The sequence below is a fragment of the Homo sapiens genome, chromosome 8 (genome assembly GCF_000001405.40).
Source record: "Homo sapiens chromosome 8, GRCh38.p14 Primary Assembly".
NCBI lineage: Eukaryota > Metazoa > Chordata > Mammalia > Primates > Hominidae > Homo > Homo sapiens.
Window position 1 is genome coordinate 105,689,544 of NC_000008.11, and position 24,679 is coordinate 105,714,222.

The 24,679-nt window shown below is 35.5% G+C and overlaps 1 protein-coding gene across 10 annotated transcripts in view, besides 1 other annotated feature; it reads left to right on the forward strand.

The window, feature by feature from the left end:
* ZFPM2 (zinc finger protein, FOG family member 2) overlaps nt 1-24,679 on the forward strand; it is a 486,102-nt gene that overhangs the window by 371,106 nt on the left and 90,317 nt on the right. The gene's annotated exons all lie outside the window — the stretch shown is intronic.
* Nucleotides 23,658-24,207: an enhancer, noted in NCBI's record as "OCT4-NANOG hESC enhancer chr8:106725429-106725978 (GRCh37/hg19 assembly coordinates)". NCBI's record gives its function as "activates a minimal SCP1, AML or CMV promoter by ChIP-STARR-seq in primed H9 embryonic stem cells {active_cell/tissue: H9 hESC(primed)}" and the evidence as "EXISTENCE:reporter gene assay evidence [ECO:0000049][PMID:30033119]".

The following is a 24,679-nucleotide window of genomic DNA, read 5'->3' on the forward strand; positions in this document are numbered from 1 at the left end:
TAGAAAAACTTTTTTTGGCAAACAATCACACTCTGTCATTATTTTATGTATAAACAAGTTGAAAACTGTTGAATCAGGGACATGATTAAGTTGGTGGTGTTCATGTTGGATGGTGATGCAGTGGCAACAGCAGTGGTGATGATGATGATGATGGTGATTGTGATAAACATATTCTGCATGGCATTTTTTAAAAAAGTGATTAGATGGAAACTGCTTTGGTTTCATTTTTATATTTCAGCAGTTCAAGACTGTGTGCAGCTGAATAAATAATGGTGTTGAGAGACTTATTTTCCTTTTTAACTTGGAGGCTTTGCTGCAGAGTTAGAAGGATCAATAGGCTGTCCATGATCTAGAGGATACAGACTGAAAGAGAGAAAAAGTGAAACAGATGATTTATCCCATTAGCTTCTTGATCTTCCTTATATTTACTCTTCCAGTGACATCATTAGGTCAATTTGAGATTAGGAGGCAGAAGAACCTCTAAACTTTTATCCATCTCTGTATCCTGCACACTATAGAATATCCTAAGGAACTTGCATAGCCTTGAACTAGTGTTGCAAGAATGGCACATGACATATACCTCAATTAGGATGCCAGGGAGAGGTTACCGTCTTCACTTTGATGTTTCCCAGGGTTCACCCTGAATAAGGCAGTTATCTCTCTAAGCTGAACATGTAAAAGCATAATAAGACTAATAACAAAATAATTCACAGTTATAGAATCATTTGATTGATGCTGATGCTCCGCAAGAGCACTATGTTAAAATGATGTTCTTTAATTCTCAGAATAAGCCAGTGCTGTTATCGTTCTCACTTAACAATTGAGGAAACAGATTTAGCTGGCATTGACCATCGGGGCCAAACCTTCAGACTGAGAAAACTACCGTAAGCTACACTGGGCCAGTGTATCGAGAAGGACACCGGACAGGAACCACAAGCTTCCGCACCAGGGATTCCTGTTGAGTAGGAGTCCTTGCAGGAGTCTAGACACCAGTTCATTCTCTAGCCATGTAGCTCCTCAGGAGATATCTTCTCCTTTGGTGGCAGCTCAGGTACAACGAAATGAGACTCACCTTGGACACCTGTGGGAGTAGCCCTGACTCAGAAGCCTCATGACCCACAGAAACTAATATCTCTCATAATAACTCACACCGCAAATCCCCAGGGTTATGTCTTTTATGAGCCACCAAACTGAAAAGCCCTAAGTATGGCCTCCTCATCACATATTGAATAATGTGTTTATACTCCCCCACCTCCGTTGCCATCTACCAATCAGTGGTCATTTTTACCAAAAGCACTATTACCTAATAATATCATTAACATTCCAACTTTTATCAGATTACTAGGGAAACTATCTAGAGAGTTAAGCTCAAGTTAATTTCACATGCAGAAGGTAAGAACAGTTTTATTAATCTTTTGCCTAAGAGTAACTCTTCCAAAGTCACAGAGTTGATAGAGGAGATGGCATTTGACCCCAATCTGTCTGACTCTAGAGCTCCTGATTGAAATTCTTATTATCCTCTCCTACTCAATAGCCCCCAAGGTATGTTAGCCTTCTTTTAATTCCTCAGACATGTAAAGCTTATTCCTCTTTCCTTAATTATTTTGTACTCTCTCATTCTACTGTTCACATAGTTGCTTCTGACTGTTCATTCAAGGTTGGCTCAAGCGCCCTGTTCCCAAAGAGACTTTTTTTTTTTTTTTTTTTTTTTTTTTTGAGACGGAGTCTCGCTCTGTCGCCCAGGCCGGACTGCGGACTGCAGTGGCGGGATCTCGGCTCACTGCAAGCTCCGCTTCCCGGGTTCACGCCATTCTCCTGCCTCAGCCTCCCGAGTAGCCGGGACTACGGGCGCCCGCCACCGCGCCCGGCTAATTTTTTGTATTTTTAGTAGAGACGGGGTTTCACCTTGTTAGCCAGGATGGTCTCGATCTCCTGACCTCATGATCCACCCGCCTCGGCCTCCCAAAGTGCTGGGATTACAGGCGTGAGCCACCGCGCCCAGCCCCAAAGAGACTTTTTGACCACCCTCACTATTTTTGACTATACCTTCCTTCCCCACAGTTACCTAATAATTTTCTGTTTTTATCATAATGTTTTGTTTCCTTTCTAACACTTATACTCTCTGAATTGTCATGTTAGTTTAGTTTCTTCTTGTTTATTGTGTATCTCTTCCCATGGAGGTGTGAACCCTGTGAGGGTAGTGATTTGAGTTACTTGCTCACTGGTGTTTCATTAGTACGTAGAATAGTTCCTGACACATGATAGGTCTAGAGTGATTGACGGAAAAACTATGCGCTCCTTTAGAGTTTATCTCATACAACTCTTGTGAATTTCAAGGAAAGATAGGCAAACATGTTTCTACTTATTAAAAACTATAAAAATACAAATTGTAATTCTACTCAAGTAATAAACTAAATTGACTTTAGGCAAAACATTTAGGCAAAAAGCTAACAATCTTCTTTGATCTGAAAACATTTTTAGTAGCTATTGATTCTGTACAAGTCATGCTCTTTTAGAGTCTATAGTGGACTCCAAAGAAACAGAATCATGAATCTACTATGAACATAGTGAGTTGTGATTTATTTAGTTTTTTACATTATCTTTGGACCTGGTTTATAAGGTGACTAAGTCCTTGAAAAACATTTGTTTAATTTGTATACTGCTAGTGTCCAGAATGGTCTCAAAAGTTGGGTGCATGTATTTCAAGGAAAACAAATTGTTAGAACACCTATTAATCTCTCTTTTTATAATGTCCATATTTGTATGTGTGTTATAATGACTACAATGTGTTCATATAGTGGATTATGCAAATAATTTAAACACAAATATCTATATGTAGGGGGTGCAAACTCAAAATTTTGCTTATGGATGTGCAAATACATAAAAATTTTAAAGACCACTGGCATGGAAGATTCAGTTGCATTATTATTATTTTATTATTGAATCACATAATCAGATTCGTACAAATGGGATGTTCATAAGTATGTAATTCAATGTAGCATGCATTAAGTGCTTTATGAAGAATGCAGAACATCTATTGGAATATGGATGAAGAAAAGATTACTTCTGCCTGTACAAAGCCAAAGGGTTGGAATTGGCATTTGCCTTAGAAATATGGATGTGATTTACCAAACTCCAGATAGGTACCATGCTCATTTTGGAATTTGTTGTAAACAAACACATAAAAACAGGACAAAACCACTTGTATTCAAGAAATGGAAAATTGTTCAGGATGGAAGAAAATGTTTATGAGTAGGAGAGTAAAGAAGAGCACTAGGAAGCTACTTCCAAGGCATGTGTGAAGGGCTTTGAATACTAGGTTAAAGATTTTTTTCATTGATGAGTAGACCATAGAAAGCTAGAAATTCTTTCTGCACAGAGCAATGACATTTTTTAAATGATGTTTCCAGAGAAAGTATGGGAGTGTGCAGGATTGGCTGGAAAGTAGAACGCAGACAGAGGTGATAGGTGGGCAACTACTGAAATGGGCAGAGCATGACATGAGAAGAGCCTAAGCTACGGTCGCATGGTGCCCTTCTGTTGAGTTGGAATAGAAACACAAGTGTGGAGATATTAGAGAAGAAGGTTTATTTTATGGACTCTGTTTTTCCATCATAAAATTGTCACATAAAGAGAATACTGATCCAGTCCTCCATGGAGAGAACCAGTGATTCTTGGATGAGCAAATAAGTTAATGGAGTAACAGCAAAGCCCCATGAATAATGGCTTTGCCCTCACAAAAATAACCTTGTGTAGAGAAGGTCAAGTGTACGTGCATTGGTGCAGGCTATTCCGCAGCTTGTCGGCAACTCGCGTTGGGACTTCTGACAAGCAGCTGCATCCTAAGTTACATTTTGAAGAAGACAGAGAAAGAGGAGCAGATGAAGTTGTTAATGCTGAGGTCTCAGCCATTTATTTGTTGTTGTTTCTTTGCTCTACTACACTACATGCCCAACATTTAGGAAAATATACTTAGGAAAGCATAGCCAAGCGCACTGAAACACAGAAGATGCACATATCCAGATAAAATATTTCAAAATCAAGAATATACTATATGTGCTCATCATAAATCTAATTTTGTTATCCATTTTAAATTTTTTTGAATTCCAATAGGCCATATATTTTCTATATGGACAGCTGTAACATGTGCTTCTTGCTACTAAATCTGACTAAAATTTATCTTTTAAATGGTGTATTATCCAATTTTTAAAATTTTAGTTATTTTTATTAATAACTAATATTTGTACATATTTATGGGGTACATGTGATATCTCTCTGTAGTCATACAATGGGTAATGATCAAATCAGCGTATTTAAGATATCCATTACTTCAAACATTTTATTATTTGTGTTGAGAACATTTCAAATATTATTGTCTAGCTATTTTGAAATATACAATATATTATCCAAATTTTTTTCTTTTCTTTTTTTCTTTTCTTTTTTTTTTTTTTTTTTTTTTGAGATGGAGTCTCACACTCTGTTGCCCAGGCTGGAGTGCAGTGGTGCGATCTCGGCTCACTGCAAGCTCTGCCTCTCGGGTTCACACCATTCTCCTGCCTCTGCTTCCCGAATAGGTAGGACTACAGGCGCCTGTCACTACGCCGGCTAATTTTTTTGTATTTTTAGTAGAGACGGGGTTTCGCTGTGTTAGCCAGGATGGTCTCAATCTCCTGACCTTGTGATCTGCCCCCCGCGGCCTCCCAAAGTGCTGGGATTACAGGCCTGAGCCACCGCGCCCAGCCTCTCCAAATTTTTTTAAGTTTCATTATTTGCTTCATTGACTCAAATAGAGTTTTCTGTTTTCTTGGAGTTTAAGAAATGCATAAGTAAAAAAATCACAATTATGATTTTTTTAAAGAAAAGTCTCTACTTCCTAATAAATGTGGCTAATTTTTCTTGAATCATTCTACCATAAAAATATCGAGCAAGTTACTTTACTTCTTAGAGACTCAGGTCTCCAATCTGTAATATGAAAACTGTGTTAGTAACTCTTTATGAATATTGTCTAAAAACTAAATAAGATATTCATGTAAAGTGATTATCACAGTGCCTGGAAGTTGATGAACAATCAATTCTTGTTTATTTGATGAATTGGATATTTCTGAGCAAATGGTTTAAATTACTCAATGTCTTTAGGTCCTCCTTTCCTTTTAATTAAATGAATTAAGTACATTAATTTTACTAAGTGATACGATTCAATTTTCATTGAGGAAGTTGGACTTCCCTCCAAGTAGGTCATCTAATATAAAATTATAATTTTAAGAAATTTCAATTACTATTAAGATGTTTTCCTATTTCTTTACATTAAGAACAAATTTCAAACATACATCTTTATCAGTGGTATTCTAGCATATTAACAATAATGACTGTTATTGAGAATTGACTCTGAGCCAGGACAATCCATATGACTCAAATATATTATGTCTCATTTACTTTTTAAGATAACCCTCTAAAACAAGTACTGTTTTTATCCCCACTTAACTAATGAGGAACCATCCTCAGTAGAATCAGAATTTGAATCCGGATCTATCTGTCTACATAGGATCAGCATTGAATCATTAGCCATATTGCCATACTTTATAAATGTAATATAATTCAGTCATTAAGAGACATAATATGATAGTATTTTTAAGAAATAAAGATTCCTGTTAATCCTTCCACGTACAATTCCCTGTAATATATTAGATCAAATTACTCTATCTCCTGAGAAAATACGTAATCATGGATGATAACCTTGAAGAAGAAAAGAAAAGTGTATTTACAGCAGTGTCTTCGCAGATTAAAGCCCTGTCTATATTACTCCAAAATATTTAAGTCAGGCAAGAATGGTTTGTATTTTTTTTTTTTTTTTTTTTTTTTTTGCTGTACCCGAAATTGTTTTGTAAACTTAGCTCATGCTTCTTTTTGTTTAACTGATGGAGATCAACTCATTAAATACTCAGTTTCAGGAAAGCACTTGTAGTAGCCTAGCTCTGAAGTTGATGTTTAGATTTGGGTTACATCTGGATGATTATTAGAGTTGGATTTCTGTTTTCACATTTCAGTGTTTTGTTAAGTGCAGTCACCAAACACATTTGATGAAATCAGAATTACTCATGCATGCTGAGAATCACTCAAAACCAAAGAAAAGAAAGGTGCTTAAGATATTTTTGCAGGTTGGAGACATTAGAGAAATAAAATATTATGAGCAGAAAATAGGTAAATGTACTATTATAGAAATATATAGCGTATATTTTTACATATTTAAGTCATCTCTACATTGGACTTAGTTAATTTTTCATTTTTTCTTCTCTTTTCTAAGTGTAGATGATCCCACTTTAGAAATGAGAAAAAAGAGTGCTTTTGTAAAGTAGATGGAAATGAAAACAAAGCAGTAACCTCAAAATGTGATTTTCTTGCTCTCTGCAGAATCTTTGTCTTACTTTTCATGTTTAATGTTGAGGCCTAGATTATATTTTTCCCACTTTCTTTCCATAACTATGAATCTTGTCAGTAATTAGGGCTCATCTCTAACAGTGCAATATTAATATAGCATCCCTGCTGTGAACATAACAGTAGGCACACATGGATCTACCTTATTTTGAGAGTCTCTGCTGAACACAGTGAGAAGATTAGGGATTCACCAGGTCTACCCCTTTGGGCCCTGCCGTGCACCATCCTGGTGTTCTCAATGGGGTCACTGTAGGAATAGGTCTAGCTAAGGTCGTATCCTGGGCAGTGAGGCGGAGAAATTGCCTACCAAATCGAGTAAGTCTTTTAAGAATCCTTCACTTACCCTTATATGATCGTGGACATCCTTCCCCCTTAATCCCTTTCCTCTGTCACCTGCGTAATAAAGTGTGACTCTCATTCAACATGGGTATGTAGCATAAAATTTAAGAATTTTCATTTCTATTAACTTTGAAACTGAGGATTATGACCAGAAGAGAGCTTTATTTCTGAGCACTCATGTATAGGCTCACTTCCTTCCACTTTATTTGCTACCAAAGTTATTAAAAATTAGAGAGCTAATTATTTACGAGATAATATTTTTTCACCGAGGATATGCGTAAAGAAACAATAGCATTCGCATAGCTGCCTCCCTTTTTTAAGAGTCCCTTTTATTATCAGAAAACACAAATATGAAATATTTTTATTCTACTCTAACTTGGGAAAACTTGGAAAGACAACTTTAAATTATATTTCTTTAAATTTTGTTTTGCTGTACTGATAAACTATAAATAATAGCATTATTTCTGGCAGTTTCTGCATGTAATTTTGAAGCAGGCTTGCATACTGTTAGTTTTTTTACAAGTTTGTTATTCTACTTAGTGATCTAGCTCACCTGAATCTGTTTGAAACTGATAATCTCTAAATATAAATCAGATAAATAAATTGGGGTATCGGTGACCCCTGATGAACTTGATATGTATTTGATTATGAAAGTCTTATAATTCAAAATTAGAATAAAAGAATTAAGCCAAATATATATTCAGATTTTCAACTTTTAAATCTTAAATTCTCTACCCAATTTTCTGTGAACACATGATTATCTGCTAATCTGACAAATGCGGAAAATCCGAGTCTATGAGATAGAACCAACTTCATATAATTTAAAAGATGCAGTCTTACTGTGATACTTTATAGTTCCACTTCTGTCTTACCTACCTCCCAAATTTGAAATACACAGTCCATAATGAAGGTTAGAATGAGCGCTTAATCTTAATTATGCATTTTGCAGTATTATAAATGCTGAAAGATTACTTCCAATGTTTGGTACAATCTTAGACGGTGCAGATGTAGTTGCCTTTGGTATATGCCATCTTTACTGAACTAACAATTTCCATAATGCTGTCACATTCTGCATGGGAAGCAGATTTACAGATAGGTAATCCATGTAAGGTATTTTAAAGACAGCTTATTAAAGGATTGAGGACTGCTGTTAAATTACATATGCTTTCAATTGCTATGAGGAGCAAACAGCATCAAGAAGTGTAGTAATTTAGCCAGGCCAGAGAAAGGCCTATTTAAAGTTTGATGATATATCCTTTAAACTTTTACTTCAAGCCCTCTTTAGCTTTATATTTACTCTGGTATAACTGTATTTCCTGCTGTATAATGAAATTTTCACGGAATCCTAAAGTATGCACATGAAAAAATTAGATATATTTTTCTTAAAATTTACATCCTTAGTTTACAATTTTAAAAATTGTCTTTTTCCATGATAGTGGCATTACTTCAAAGGAGGCCAGACTGTATTTTTAACATAGCTAAATATGAATGGCTAAAGTAATTTCAGACTCCCTGCTGGTGTTAACTGTTATTCTTCTGCCATATCCCTTATATTCTGAGAGCCATAGAAAAAAAACTGAGTTGAAGAAGGTCTTATCATAGTCTCTGATAGTTGTGAGTTTGTGTTTTATCTTCAAACAAGGAGAAGAAGGGTTAGCTGGTCCTTAAATTCATTTTCAGATCTCTGAATCACATATTTTGATATATTGTAATATGTTCCTAAAATATATGTATTTTCCCTTGTATTTCTCTCATGTCTTTCACAATGCCTAATTTTGCTCTATGCAAATGGTGTGTACTCAGTAGAAATTGTTGATGTGGCTTGAATTGAAATCAGTGCTAATTACCTTTGAATACTAGTTCTACCTTTCCCTTAATCATGAGCCAGGATATACTTTCCAACTTTCACTAGGTAATCTGTTCTCAATTTCTACATTTCTTGGATTCCAGACCAGGGCTTGCAAAGCGGAAGAGACACTAGGGAAGGTGGCAGAGGTGGAGAGAGAAGGGGTATCATCCATGGTGAACACACTGGGCAAGTCACTGGGGACTGCAAAATGCATATCAACATATTCAAAGCTCCAAGATAACTTATAGCAAAGAAACCACTTTTCACTTTCTTAAATTCATGTATCATTTGTTATTTAAAAAATAATAAAAATGTTCTCGTTACTTCTTAGCAAAGTCAGTGCTTTAATCAATACAAAAAGGAATATATTAATTTGAATTTTTTGATGCCTAGTTTAACTGTTAATTTGGGACATTTTTATTTTAGTAGAAATAGTCCCAAGTTGGAAAAACTTGATTTAGCATTTTATAGCTTTTAGACGAACAAAGTTCATGGATTATACAGAAATTAAAACAAAAAGACTTTTGAAGAACAGAGATATAAAAATATACATTAGACAGTTCCCTGACAATAAACATTGGTTATATAGTTAAAATAATAAAAATTATATGGCTTTATGATTGCAACAAGGTTACACAGCTTCAATTTCAATGTTGTTTAGATTACCTGCATACTGATATTTTGACTTATAATATCTTTTCATCTAGAACATTTCCATTTCCAATTCCCATACAATCAAAATCAGTGTCATTTTCTTCTCTCCTTGCTATATTCTTTTGAGGGCCTGGAAAAGGTTGGCAAGATGCTATTTTAATACATTGACCTAAGCCAACGAATTTTAGAATTATGCAAGTAAAAATGAGCACATAAGTTATTTAAAAAAGATCTGCAGTTTAATTTACCTAATGTCAGACTTAAGCAATATTAAATCTATTTGAACTTAATTGCAAATTTGGGTCTCTCTATAAGGTGTAATTATCTGAACATCTTGCCATTAAAATTAAATGTGAGTGAATTTTGACATATTCATTTTCCTTTGTAATAAATGGAGGGTAATATTTTTATTTTGAAATATTTATAGTGTAAATTACTAAAATGGTATTTCTCTCCTATTCTAATAAATCTGTTTTTACATAAGTTCTAGAGGTTAATGGCTAGATTTTAAATTGCTTTCCATTTTGATAATAAGTGGATTTCCAAGAGAGATGATGTTATTAAAGAGACTTTGGTCACTCTGATTCTCTCTTTATATGAGAATAATTCATATTTGTACAAACTTAAAGGTATAAGATGAAGCCACACTGGTATTTTTCTAAACATATAGTTTGGAGTATTGTTTTGAAAGGAATTTCTTTTTCTTAATGATATAGTTCTTTTGTTAAGCCTCTATTCTAAAATGTTTTTCTTTTTATAAAGATTGGGTATTTTTCCTGATATTCATATAACACCTCTCAAAAGTGAATAATGGCAATGATTCCACTGAAAATTAACTTTGAATTAATGCGCTGTAACTGTGATCAAATATTGATCAGTTTTCTTTATTTTGTGCATGGTTGCAAAGTGAGAAATATAATGCAAACTCTCAAATAATTAATTTGATTACATTGAAAAAAATTAATCTAAACTAGCTACACAAAGTCATAAAATAAAAATGTTGAACACTCAACATTCAACGAATATTATTTATTGTTGTCTTAGACTAATTTCATTATTGTTTATGATAAATATTTTTAAAGAGCAATATTTTAGGTATTTTTGAAAGGTCTACTAAACTCAGAATTATTATTGAAAAATGAAATGTAAATACTTAGATCTTTGATAACAAAGTAATTAAAATGTATGATTTTGCCTACTGTGTATAATAAGGGCTTATATTTGATCAACCATAAAAGTTATTTAATCATTTTAACCTTGGAATACTACCCCACAAAACACTACTTAATGGAAGTTAGCTGAGACGCATTAGGGTATCAAAACATCAAGTCGGCAAAGCAAGAGGGCCTAGAAAATTCAAGCCCAGCTTATTCTGCCATAATGCTACAGCAGGTTGCGTGGCAACCAGTGGCTATGGATTTTGAAGTTATTTTATCCGTATTCAGTGAGGAACGACTTAGCCTGAATTGATTTTAGTAATTTTCAGAATTAATCAGGTTTTCAAGAATTATTACATTAGCAGACATTTTCTAGGTTTCCACATTTAGAAATACGTATGTACAAGTCTAGTTTCCAAAATAGCACTAGTTACTGGTTGCCTGGTTATTTGATTAATAATACATATTAGATACCTGCTGATAAATTTGTTACATCTTGTGACTTGTATTAAAGCTGGTTATTGTCCAGAATTTTAAAGCTGCTTATTTTATGTGATTTTCCACTGTTGACCTTATCCCTAGGAGTTTTTTGTTTGTTTGTTTGTTTGTTTGTTTGATTGTTTGTTTGTTTTTTGAGACTGAGTCTCCCACTGTCATCCAGGCTGGAGTGCAGTGCAGTAGCATGATCTCCACTCACTGCAGCCTCCACCTTACGGGTTCATGTGATTCTCCTGCCTCAGGCTCCTGAGTAGCTGGGATTACAGCCGCGCACCACCACGCCTGGCTAATTTTTGTATTTTTACTAGAGACTGGGTTTCACCATGTTGGCCAGGCTGATCTCAAACTCCTGACCTCATGATCCAGCCACCGCCTCCCAAAGCGCTGGGATTACAGGCGTGAGCCACTGCGCCCAGCCATCCCTATCAGTTCTAATATGACACCACATTTTTAAATTTTTTAAATTACATTTTGTTTTTGCCATAACCTGCCATTGTCTTGCATTGTTGAGTACTTCCTTGATTTTATGATAAATAGTGTGTTTTGTTGGTATTTTTGTTGGGATAATTAAATACACATTAAACTTAATATATCAATAACATTTTGGATTGTGTAGAGAAATAAAGTGTTTTTCATTCTCACATTTTGTTTTTCCTTGTTTTATCTTGGAATGGGAATAGAGAAACAGCAGAGTTGGCTATAGTTAATATTTGAAATATATTTTTAGACATCTGACAAGCAAAACCTATATTCTGTTAGGATTTTCTACTTGGAAAAAGACAGAAATTTCTGAAATGCTATTATAAAGTCAGTTCTGTTGATATTTCTTTGACTCAGTGATTATGTGGAGCTTTTCAAGACATTTGATCTTATGTGGAATTTCCTACCCTTTAGTTTATATTCTGTCTCTATCTGCTATTAGTGGTGAATTAGAGTTATTCTAAAAGCATATGTAATATACAACCTATTTTTGAATAACTTAGATGGAAAGTAAACTTACTATTCTGTATAAAGCAATCTTGTATAATCAAGCAAAAATGAAAATGTGTCTTTAAATCACAAAGGCTAAAACACTTTCTAATAAATCTGCTAAACAAAAGGTTGTAATATGTGCCATGCCATCTTCAGACGTACCATTAATACCACATCTAAACAGCAGGAAAGTAGTGGTAGAAATATGCATAATTTAACGTTACAAAATACATGCCTGGAAGTTCATTCCTTAGGGATTTGTGAATATTACCTGAAAATATAGTCTTCATGGTGATGATTGTAAAGTTTCTACTATAAAGAACTGTGTGTTAACCTGAAACTACAGTCATTTTTCAAAAATGAGTATATATATTTTTTAAGCCAGGGGAATTTTCGTTTAAGCATAAACAAATCACCAGTCAAACATAGCAGCAGGTTTGATGTGCTTGCACTATAGCAGTCTTTCTTTCTACATCTTTTCTAGACTCTAGTTGATTTAACTCTTGATCACTCATTTTATAATCAGCAGTGTTGGATTAAATGTAACATAATTAAAACATCTTGGATTGTGTGACATTTCACAAATAAATTCCAAACAAAATTGGTTATCAAATCACAGCTGTAGTATGAATAAATCCATCTTACAATGTGGTTCATTATTTGACAGGAAGTGTCTGCTCAGCTTCTTAAAGGGCTGCTTCTTTGTGTTTGTTTTGTCTTTGCTTTGTTTTCTTTGTTTTGTTTTGTTTTTCAAGAACAAGCAGGTTTCCAACTATCAGCATCCTCTATGCATTAATTTTAAGAAACGGGTTTCAACAAACAATAGCTAAGGCATTAGCCACAGAATGTAACAGCAGCCTGTGTTAGGTCTTCCCATGAGAATAGTCATCACCTTTATTACAGGGAGATTTATCTTGGGCATCAAATGTAGGTGAAAAGTACTTTGAAAATCACAAATTGCTGTGTTGCATCAAGAAATGGGGTGATAGTAACAGTGTTAATGGCTGTGTCATTTGGTAGCTTTTCCACTTCTACCTTTTCTTCCAAAGCAGGCTTCAGTGCAAAATGTTTGGTTGCAGATTTTTCCTCTCAGATTTTAAGAACAGAGCTTTTCCCAGGAAAATGTTCTTTAACGGCAAACCAAAATTATCTCCTTATTTTACATTAGAAGTCAAGTGTTTCAGTGTGGTAAATAAAGAAATTGGTTGTTCATCCTCAACCCCAAAAGGGGACACGTGTATAAGGGAGTTGGGATTCTACCTCAGTGCCCCACCTATTTGCCTGACCCTAGAAAAATCGGATCATGGATTTGAAAATGGGTATGTATTTTGGCATTGTGCCTTGCTCTCAGTTTTGACAACCAGATCAGCAGCAGGAGAAAGTGAAGGCACTGCCTTGCTTTTTGTTTCTCTCTGACATTGTGGAGCCAAGAGTCACAAATGTTGGGATGGAAGGTTAGGACAGGCAGGACTCACAGAAAACTTCGCATAGTGTAATCTAATATTATCTAAAATAATTATGCCAGTTCTGTAGCACTTCTCCTGTGAGAAAGTGAAAAGAAACAATAACCAAGTGAATGGTGAGGAATGAGTTTTGCTTGGACTCCTTTCCTGCCCCCCGCCCCGCGCCCAACATTCTTATATTCTGTAGAGAAGGTTCTAGACCAAGGATTAGCATGATGGTAAGAACCAATGAGAATGACTCACATTAAGAAAAATGTGTCCATTTCAGATCAGAAGAAACAGCTTTATTAATAGTATTATTTATTAATAATAGATAATACCATAACATATATGGAGCACCCACTGTCTACTTGGCACTGCACTTAGTGCTATCCACACAAAGATTTAAGCTTTAGGGCCATTTCTTTATATACTGAGGTAAATAGAAAAACACAAATTACAGAGAGATCTACTGGGGAGAAAATCCGTATTAAGGAAACAAAGGGGATAGTGGGACTCACCACTTGGAAGGATTTGGCAGTAATTCAGTAAAGGAAATTTGCTAGACGGAGAACGAAGGGAAGGGCAATCGAGGTACACAAAGTAGAAAGTTTTTTGTTGTTGTTTTGTTTTTTTTAATAAGGTCTTGGCTTGTTTAGGAAATGGGCAGAATCTCAGTGTTATGCAGCATGAGAACAGATTGTGTGACATGGATGCTAGAGAAGTAAACTGTGCTCAGGTGAGGCTGGGCCTTCATTACATATGGCAACCTGAAAAGCTGTAGATGTTTCTCTTGGTTTTCCTAAACTAGTTTGCATTCATATATAGATCAATAAGTTCTAATATTTCAAGCATTTCATTATAAAAATCATTTCTTTGCATAGGAACACTATCTTCATTGTTCAGGGCAATATGGCTCAGGTCATATTTAAAGAATCAACTGTTTTAATATATGTCTTTCCACGATTATCCTGTATCACTATCCACCCGCCCTTCATTTTTATAATTGTTGATATGAAGAGGAATGCTGTTACCTTTTCTTCATGTTTGACTGTTGACAGTTTCTAGGCTTCACCTCTCCTCTTCCACTTATGCCCCACATCTGGGCAAGCAGGTAATAAATCCTGAGTTCTCTCTCCTTTAGCACCAGTAGTGAATTCAAACCACATAAGCCCCTTGCCCACACAAGAGGACCTTCACCCTGACCACAGGGAAAACACCAAGCTATCTCTCTCTCTCTCTCTCTCAACATTTGGAATCAGAGGACTAAGTTCTGAACCTGCTAAAGACCTAACATTGCTAAATTGGTTTTACGTGGATTTTGCATTACTGAAAATTTGGCAGAAATAAAACTACATATTTCCTCCCCCTTTACATATATTGGACTACTTTAAATCAACAAAAATTAGAAAACTATCTGTTCTAAATCCTGAATCTGGCAGAAAATTGGATGCAGCTTAAAGACTGACGCTGTCTGAAATGTCATGGCCTCTTCCGTGGCTAGAGTTCTAGTCTGATTGATTTGGTATCTTACATTTGAAGTACATGGTTCTCTCTGTGCTTGAAAGATGCAGAATTAAGCTATATCATGTTAATTCGGTAACTACTTTCGCTCTTCCAACCCCCACCCCTGCCAAGGTGAATGAATCCCAGTTTCCTTAGGAAGGAATATTATCAAAATATGTGGGCGATTCAAGCTAGCCAAGTTTAGCTTGATAGAAAGAAAATAAGTAGCGGGTGTGTTGCATTTAATTATGGAAGGCTGCAAGATTCCAATGACATATTTACCTCATTTACCTAGATGATATTCTAATATTTATTAGGCCATTTGAGAAACATCTGCAACACTTAGATAAGATGTGCTGCCTCATAAGGGAAAGTGGACTACAGTTCAACTCCACAAAAGCACTGTATCCCCTGTATGAATCCCAGTTCATTTTCTGATGAGGTTTCCTTCTTGACCATTTAGTTCACTGGTTAGCACAGAATACCAGAGAGGCTCAAGTTGCAAGTTAAATTCTCCTCTAGTCAGTTAGTCTCGTCTTAGGGATCTGTGGCTGCAGCCCTTTACCTTAGGCAACCTGGTCAAATGGAGGACAAGATGACAGGATCAAATGATCATGGATGAGAGAGCATTTGTAAAATCTAAGCCAGTATATAATTAAGGGATTATGTTTTAATCATGATGTTAATACTGGAAAGCTAGTCAAAGCATGTTATCATATTAAATTAGTATAATTGCCTCTTTATGTGTTTTCTGAATTGATATATATATATATATGTATTCTGATTCTAAAATCAGTATGTTATGTGAAGATATTTAATTTAATGTAGTGTATATTTAGGGAATAAAAATTTTTAATAAAAGAATGAAAGCATTGTGTGTATGCAATATACAAATAAGATTAAGTTTAAGACTGTTTTATACTTCAAAAGAAACTAAAAACTACAATAAATACCAATATATAACGTGTCATTCATATTTTCATTACAGGACCTTATTTCTGTTGGGGTTTGACCAGAAACAATAAATCCATCATTTTTTCTTATCCCAAATTCTCATTCTACCTATCAGGGAAGGGTCTATGTAAAGATGACCAAATAATTTACTGTACAAATTGGGACAAATAAGTAGTACTTCTCATTCCTTCCTATTTGAAAGGTAGATATGACATATGGCAAATGAAGATAAAAATATCAGCTTTAATGGATCAAAGTGATTAAAGATAATAGTGAACATGTGTGACCAAGTGAGCTACCTCAAAATGCATCAAAGACTTTGCTAGGTTTACTCCCAGAGCCACACAGACTGCAGTGGACGACTCCCTGTTACCCTGGGTGAAAATGGACCCAAAGGAAGGTCTATTCTTGGGGCATAAGCTGGCTCCCAAGTGAAGGAATAGAAGAAGCGTCAAAACTCAGTTCTTTCTCCAAAATGCACTTGCTAGAAAAGTCAGCCCTTTTCTACTGAGGCGAAATGAATGATGGGGCAGAGAGACTGCAGGACTGTTTGACTAATAGATATCCTTCCTTCAGAAATGTGGAATAAGTTACCCCAAATCTAGTATTGAATTACTTCACATGCAATTTCACTTTCACATGCACCATACGATTTATATATTCCTTAATACACTACCTAATTTAATTCTCACAGCATTCCCAGGCATGTGAGTGTATATATATTTATCCCCATTTTATTGATGAAGGAGCTAAGTCTTAGGGACATTAAATAAGCTGAGTAGAACCACCCAGATAGTAAGAGAAAGAGCCAAAACCAAGTTGCTTAAGTCCAGTGATCAACTGCTATATTGCTTTTAAAAGTTATGAAATAATTCAAATATAAACATACATAGGATTTGTGAAAATTCTAAGTCCCTGAACAAGGGTGACTTTGGCAACGTCAAGATTATTAATAGTGCCTAAAATACAAAAATCAGAATCAATGCACAAAAGCGTATGACAGTATGCAAAAATGAAGACTATTGTGTAAAATCACATTGGAAATGAAATTCATTTTAGTCAACTTGATTAAAATGCTCAAAGGATTACTCTAAAACAATATAAACATTCCTCATTTTATTTTTTTGTGTGGAACTGTGATATGGTATGTGTTCTAGAGATTTTGTTTTTATATTTTTTTGTTCCTGGTAATGAGGATAGCAAAAGTAAATAACTGATGATTCCTCTTGTTTCTTGTTTTTGGGTTTTTTTTGGAAATAGAGTCTCACTGTCACTCAGGCTGGAGTACAGTGGCATGATCTCAGCTCACTGCAACCTCCGCCTCCCAGGTTCAAGCGATTCTCTTGCCTCAGCCTCCCAAGTAGCTGGGACTACAGGTGTGCACCACCATGTCTGGCTAATTTTTGTATTTTTAGTAGAAACGGGGTTTCACCATGTTGGCCAGGCTGATCTTGAACTCCTGACCTCAAATGATCCACCCGCCTCGGCCTCCCAAAGTGCTGGGATTACAGGCGTGAACCACCACGCCCTGCCCCTCTTGGTTTTAATCACTCATTTAATAATGGTTTCTTATGAAAAATACTTACTGGTAGTGTAGATTAAAAAGTATTTAGGCTGGGTGTGGTGGCTCATGGCTGTAATCCCAGGACTTTGGAAGGCCAAGGTGGGAGGATTGCTTGAGCTTGGGAGTTTGAGAACAGCCTGGGCAACATAAGGAGACCTCATCTCTATTAAACATTTTTTGAAAATAGCCAGTTGCTGTGGTGCACACCTGTTGTCCAACCTACTTGGGAGGCTGAAGCAGAAGGATCACTTGAGCCAGGAGATCAAAAGTGCAGTAAGCTATGATCATGCCACTGCTCTTCAGCCTGGGCAACAGAGCAAGACTTTGTCTCAAAAAAAAAAAAAAGAAAAAGAAAAAAAAAGCATCATTATTTTTTCTTACCCCAAATTCTCCTTCTACTTTATCAGGTGAGGCTCTATGTAAAGGTGACCAAATAATGTACCATACTAAATGGGACAATTAGAAAGCAAAAGAAGGTGTGCAATTAGTGTGGGATGACAAGCATAAACTGTCACATACTAGGAAACATATCTAATTATAAATATGCATCTGATGTACCTCATTTAACATGGCATTTGGGGAATACACAACTTTCACCTACAAGCTCTGTCCCTACCTTGTAGGGTCTTTGTCTGTTGGTCAGGGTAGGTAAGACCAATCCAATTCAGTGTATGGCCTTGTACTGTTGCTATCTGTTGAATTGTTCGTTACTGGTTTATAACAAGATAAGGAATCTGTATCAAAATGTAAATGTATTAATACTGTGTCAGGAAGCACATTGTTTAGTCAGGTGACATTGTTTTGTAGCAACACTTTTTCAATGAAGGAAACAAAGAATTAAATTATATTATGACTGATAGTCTGGCAGTAATTCTTTATTCCCCACAAACTGACTGTTTCACATAAACATCCAACATATATGACCAAAAATAGGGAGAGTAGAGGCACCTTACCTCATGGACATTCAGGTTATAACTCTCCTTTCATCTTGGAATGCTGCTTTTTGAAAGAATAATCCCTTGAAGAAAGCTTTAGGGGTTAGCCTGAGGAAAATAATTTTTAACTCTTTAGTCCACAGCTCATTGACTAGAACTCGTCATATGGTTCCACCCTAACTGCGAGAGAGGCTGGGAAATGTAGTCTTTTGGGTTGTCAGCTAGTCCCAACAAGATTAGGAGGGATCTGACAGTTTTGACTTTCTCTAATTAGCCACAAGTATGATCCACTAGAACTAAAAAATTGACTAGCTCTGGGATTATTTGGGCTTTTAAGAGTAAAACCTGTGTCATCGACCTCCATATTCTTATAATAATTGGAGAATCATCATATTACATCACATTAATTATGAAATATGAAAAATTAAATATTAACTGGTCTAGTAATTTTAGGATTTTGTATAATAAAGATATCTAATTGTGTATGTTGTTTTACCACTTAAAAACAGCTTCACTGTTCTTTATTTCCTTTAATGTCATTATGATTCTGTGAGATAGGAGTTTTCTTGGGGTTTCGTTGCCATTGTTTGTTTGTTTGTTTGTTTGTTTTGTCTCCCTCCACTGCCCAGGCTGGAGTGCAGTGGTGTGATCACGGCTCACTGCACCCTCAAGCTCCTGGACTCAGGTGATCCTCCCACCTCAGCCTCCCGAGTAGTTGGGACTACAGGTGTGCACCATCCTGCCCACCTAATTTATTTTATTTTATTTTTGTATTTTTGGTTGAGATGAGGTTTCGCCATGTTGCCCAGGCTGGTTTTTAACTCCTGGGCTCAAGCGGTCCACCCGCCTCGGCCTTCCATAGTGCTGGGATTATTGGCATGAGTCACCGTGCCTGGCCTATTATTAGTAGATAAGAGTTTTTATATCCATTTTACAGATATAGAAACATTGAGTAGGAAGAATACAAAATGGCAAAAACCCATTATTTTGGCAAATAATAAAGTACTTCCTGTGTTATAAACATATGCCATGGGTTGAATCAAAGGTGATAAAGTAAAATCATCCAAGGTTTCTTATTTACATTTTCGAACTCTTTTCATAGAGCACAACTTCTACATTGCAGTAGGAACATATTTAAATTAGAATTGTTCATTACTTCAACAAAATTTGGAGCTCAAAGCATAAACATGGTGCTGACCAAATAACTATTCTATTTTTTGGTAGTAGAGAAAGGGGAGAACCTGAACAAGATGGGCTCTCTGATGTGCCTTTTGATAGTGTGTATTATAAAAGGTCAGAAAGGGAGAAAAGGGATTCCTGGAGTATTATTCCTAAGGAGACATGACTCACAATTTTTTGCCTTTGATTTAAAGTAAATCATTGAATGCAACATTTTCACTCATCAATCTGGTTTTTACTATGGAAATCTTCAAATATAAACTCATAAAATTTAAAAACATGGCTATTTTTGTCCAGTTTTATTATAGTCTATATTACTGGCCTTAGGCATATCTTAATGGAGTTGGTCAAAAGATTAGACAGGTGTTCTTGATGTTTTCTTTTTTCTTCTAAAAGTCATCTCACTGGGTTAATAGCATGGAACTAACAGAGCTAAGATTAAGAGGTTCGTTCACCAGAGATATCTTAGCTCCCAGGCTTCCAGATTACACAGCTCAGCTCAACCAGATTTTTAAAAAAATGTATGCCACTACTTACAGTACTTAAAAGTTTGGGGCAAATAAATTGTAGTCCAGGATCAACCAGAAATTAAAATTAACTGAGAGTGAATACTTAACTGAGAGTAGGTCAGTGATATTATCTTTGTACACGAAGAACAGCAGAGTATTCTGAATTTAATAGAATTAAGTAAATAATCATTATTTATTTAAAGAAAAAAATTTTAGGAACTTTTTGTAGTCTGATACCTGAAAAAGATACGAAAGTTTAAGCTGTATGAAACTTTCAGGGTGAAATGTGAAACTCTCTTCTAAGGTTTTGGATTTCGCTATGAAACTCAAAACTCAGACCCATTTCAGAGGGGTTTGCAAACCTTGGCTACATCTAAGCATTGCACAAGGTTTAAATGTATGCTAGCCTTTCAATCTGTTCCAGAAACTGGGGACATTATTTTTTTTAAGTCTGCTTAATTCTTGGTAAGTCACATACTTTTTAAAGTCAGCTTTAACAGAATTACATAGTTTCATCATAAGACTCATAAGGTTCTTTAGCCATTATTTAGTCTGATCCTTTTTTTTTTTTCATGAAGAAGCATTCTTAGTTCAACTGAGATAAAAAAAACTTTACGTTTGTGAAGTAATTGGCATAAATAAAGTTATGCTGCAGTTATAAACAACTTCAAAATCTCAGTGGTCTGTAAAACCAAGTACTGCTTTTCATTTATGCAACATGTCTAATGTGGTCACCAGGGAGGTTCTGTCGTTTGTATTCACTCAGATATTGAAGATAGTAGACCTCAACATGGGTTTCTTTGACCACTGAATTAGAAGGAGGGGGATATATGGTAAATTGCCCATTGGCTCTTAATAAGCATATCACTTCTGCCTAGATTTCATTGGCCTAAGCAAGTTATATGAACATTCCTAATTTGTAAGCAGATGGTGAAAGGAAATTCTTTTATGTGCATACGACATGAGAATTGCATTTATGAGCTCCCTATAGTCTATCTTCAAATTGAGAGATATGCAATGAGAAAGAAATTATCTTGGTAATCAATTTTACCCTAGAAAATATAAATTTATTTTAAATATTGGAACTCTGTCATAACCTCAATCTTAACATTTCTAAAAATGCACAAAATTGTGTGTGTGTGTGTGTGTGTGTGTGTGTGTGTGTGTGTATGTGTGTGTGGGGGGGTGTATGTGTGTGCAGTGGTTATTAGAGCTGACTTCCAAGCCAAAGCTTAGATTGTCCATATACTAGAGGGATGACTTTCAGAATTTTCTTAATTTCTCTGTGTCTCAGTTTCCTCATCATTGAAGTGGTTCTAATAATAGTAACTTATTCGTAAGGTCATTATGAACATTCACTTGGAATCCCTTCAAGGGAGTGAGTTATTGTGATGTTGTTTTATCTTTACATTGTGATGTTGCTTCATTCTCTCTTTTTGTTCATCCTCTCAACCAGCCAACTTAATATCTTGATGTAATTTTTGATTCTCCCCTCTTCCTTACACATACTTGGTCATTAAGGTTTTTTAAAAGTATTCCTTTAAGGTAGGTGTCAGCAAACTATGTCTCTGTGGGCTAACGATAGTTTTAAAAAATATTTTTAAAGGAGTTTAAAAATAAAATGCCAACAACAAGAATATTTGGGACACAAAGTCTAAAATATTCAGTATATGCATCCTTACCCAAATAGTTTGCCAAACTCTGCTCCAAAGTATCCGTTAGAGCTGTTGCCTTTTCACAACTAACAGCTATTGCTATCTTATATTCCTCTTACTTCCCAGCCAGTTTTCTGGCTCCAGTTCATTTCCCAATGCATAGTTTGCCCAACTATCTGTATTATTACACCTCAGATTTCTGCCTTAAATACTTCTGGATATATAAGCTCTCCACTTAAAAGAATAGATCTTTAGTTGTCTCCCTGACTCTTAAGAGAATAATTGCTTCCTTAGTAGGTTTTGTCACCTGGCTCAAATCCTCTCTTCTAGACATACTCTTTGTAATTCCTATATATGAACTTGTTACTAATTTATATATGTGTTTATTAATTTATCCAGAAAATATTCAGAGTGCATACTATATATACCACTGTACAAGGAGAAATAAGTTCGAGTCTCAGCCTTCATGATTTTTACCCCCAGAAGTGTGTCTTTCATTCTTCCTTGTTTCTGAATATCTCCTCCATAAGAAAGTCCTTTCTTCCAATGAAAATAGTACATATGCTCCGAAGACCAGATGGAGTTTTAGGTCTTTTCATAAAGCTTCTCCTAACCACCTAAGGCCTCATCAGTCTTCCTCCCCTGAACTTCTTTGCTACTCAAAGTCTCTGCCAATAAAAATCAAAACTTTTATTATGAGGCTTCTTTCTATGGTTTTATATATATCTATTGTGGTCTTTTTGTGTATTTATGCCTCTTAACCCACCTGAAACTTGATTTAAATTCCTAGAGGACATATCTTATACTGCATTTTGTTCCAGAGTTAATTCAGCAACAATAAATATTTGCTGAATTCTTTTTCTGGTAACTGGGTTAATTTAGTTAGTACAGAGGCTGTTAGTGCAGGATTGTTAACTGGGGGAAAAAGGCTGGTGAGGAACCAGTGGAGAGTTATAAGATGTTGTTGAAACAAAAAAAGATAAGGAACAAGTGATGGAGAAAGAGAGGAGAAGAAAGAACATTATGCTACTAGAGGAATGTATTCATTGATTCTACAAATATTTAGTAGTGACATGCAGCATAAGCATTGTCACAAGAAATGAGACATAGTGGTGAACAAAAGAAATAGACTAGGCCATCATATAATTTAGATTTTGAAAGACAGACCATAAACAAATAAACAAGTAATTAGACTCTATCTTGTAGATTGGAGGCAACCTTCATCAAATTAACGTTGTGAGGTAGACAGTATTACCTCAATATTAACTGTGAGGAAACTGATGCGGAGGTATGTCGGAATCAAATCTTACCAGCTTGTAAGAGCCAGTCATTAAATTTGGGGCGACTACAAGCCATTTTTTTTGTGTTGTTTAATTGTAGTTTTAGGTTCAGATTCAAGGAGTGCAGTGGTAGGTTTATTTTAAGGTTATATTGCGTGATGCTGAGGTTTGGGCTTCTACTGATCCCATCACCCAGATAGTGAACATAGTACCCAATAGGAAGTTTTATAGACCTTTCCCTGCACTCTCCTTTTGGAGTCCCCAGTGTCTTTGGTTCCCATCTTCATGTCCAAGTGTATTCAGGGTTTAGCTTCAAATTGTAAGTAAGAACATGCAATATTTCGTTTTCTATTTTTGTGTTAATTCACTTAGGATTATGGCCTCCAGCTGCATCCATGTTGCTGCAAAGGACATGATATCATTCTTTTTTTATGGCTGCATAGTGTTCTGTGGCGTATATTCACCACAGATAGGCTCTTCAGTTGATTCTGTCCTAGTGGAATAGTGAATAGTGTGGCAATAAACGTATGAGTGCAGGTGTTTCTTGGTAGTACAATTTTATTTTCCTTTGGGTATATATCCAGTAATAGGATTGCTGGGTTCAGTGGTAATTCTATTTTTAGTTCTTGGAGAAATCTCCAAACTGCTTTCTATAGTGACTGAATTAATTTACATTCCAGTAACAGCATATAAACATTCCTTTTTTCTTCATAGTCTCCCCGGCATGTTATTTTTTGACTTTTTAATGATAGCCATTCTGACTGGTGTGAGATGCCATCTCATTGTGATTTTGATTTGCATTTCTTTGATGATTAGTGATTTTTTCATATGTTTGTTGGCTGTTTGTATTTCTTCTTTTGAAGAGTATTTGTTCATGTCCTTTGCCCACTTTTTAATAGGGTTATTTGTTTTCTTCTTGTTGATTTAAGTTTCTTATAGATTCTGGGCATTAGTCCTTTGTCAGTTGCATAATTTGCAGATACTTTCTTCCATTCTGTAGGTTGTTTACCCTGTTGATAGTTTCTTTTGTTGTGCAGAAGCTCTTTAGTTTAATTAGGTCTCACTTGTCAACTTTTGTTTTTGTTGCAAGAACTTTTGAGGACTTAGTCATAAATTCTTTACCTAGGCTGATGTCTTACATTTAAGTCTTTAATCCATCTTGAGTTAATTTTTGTATGTGGTGAGAGGTAGGCATCCAGGCTGCATATGCTTAACCAGTTTTCCCAGCACCATTTATTGAATAGATAGTCCTTTCCCCATTGTTTATTTTTGGAAACATTGTTGAAAATCAGATGGTTATAGGTGTGTGGCTTTATTCCCAGGTTCTCTATTCTGTTCCATTGGTCTGTGTCCATTTTTGTACCAGTATCATGCTGTTTTGGTTACTGTAGCTTTATAGTATAGTTTGAAGTTGGGTAATATGATGTCTCCAGCTTTGTTCTTTTTGCTTAGGATTGCTTTGGCTACTTGGGCTCCTTTTTGTTTCCATATGAACTTTCGAATAGTTTTTTTCTAATTCTGTGAAAAATGACATGGAAAATTTTATAGCAATGGTGTTGAATCTGTAGATTGTTTTGGGCAGTATGGACATTTTGATGATATTGATTCTTCCAATCCATGAGCATGGAATGTTTTTCCATATGTTTGATTTGTCTGTGATTTCTTTCAGCAGTGTTTATAATTCTCCTTGTAGAGATCTTTCACCTCCTTAGTTAGATGTATTCCTAGGGTGTGTGTGGGGAGGGACAGGGGGT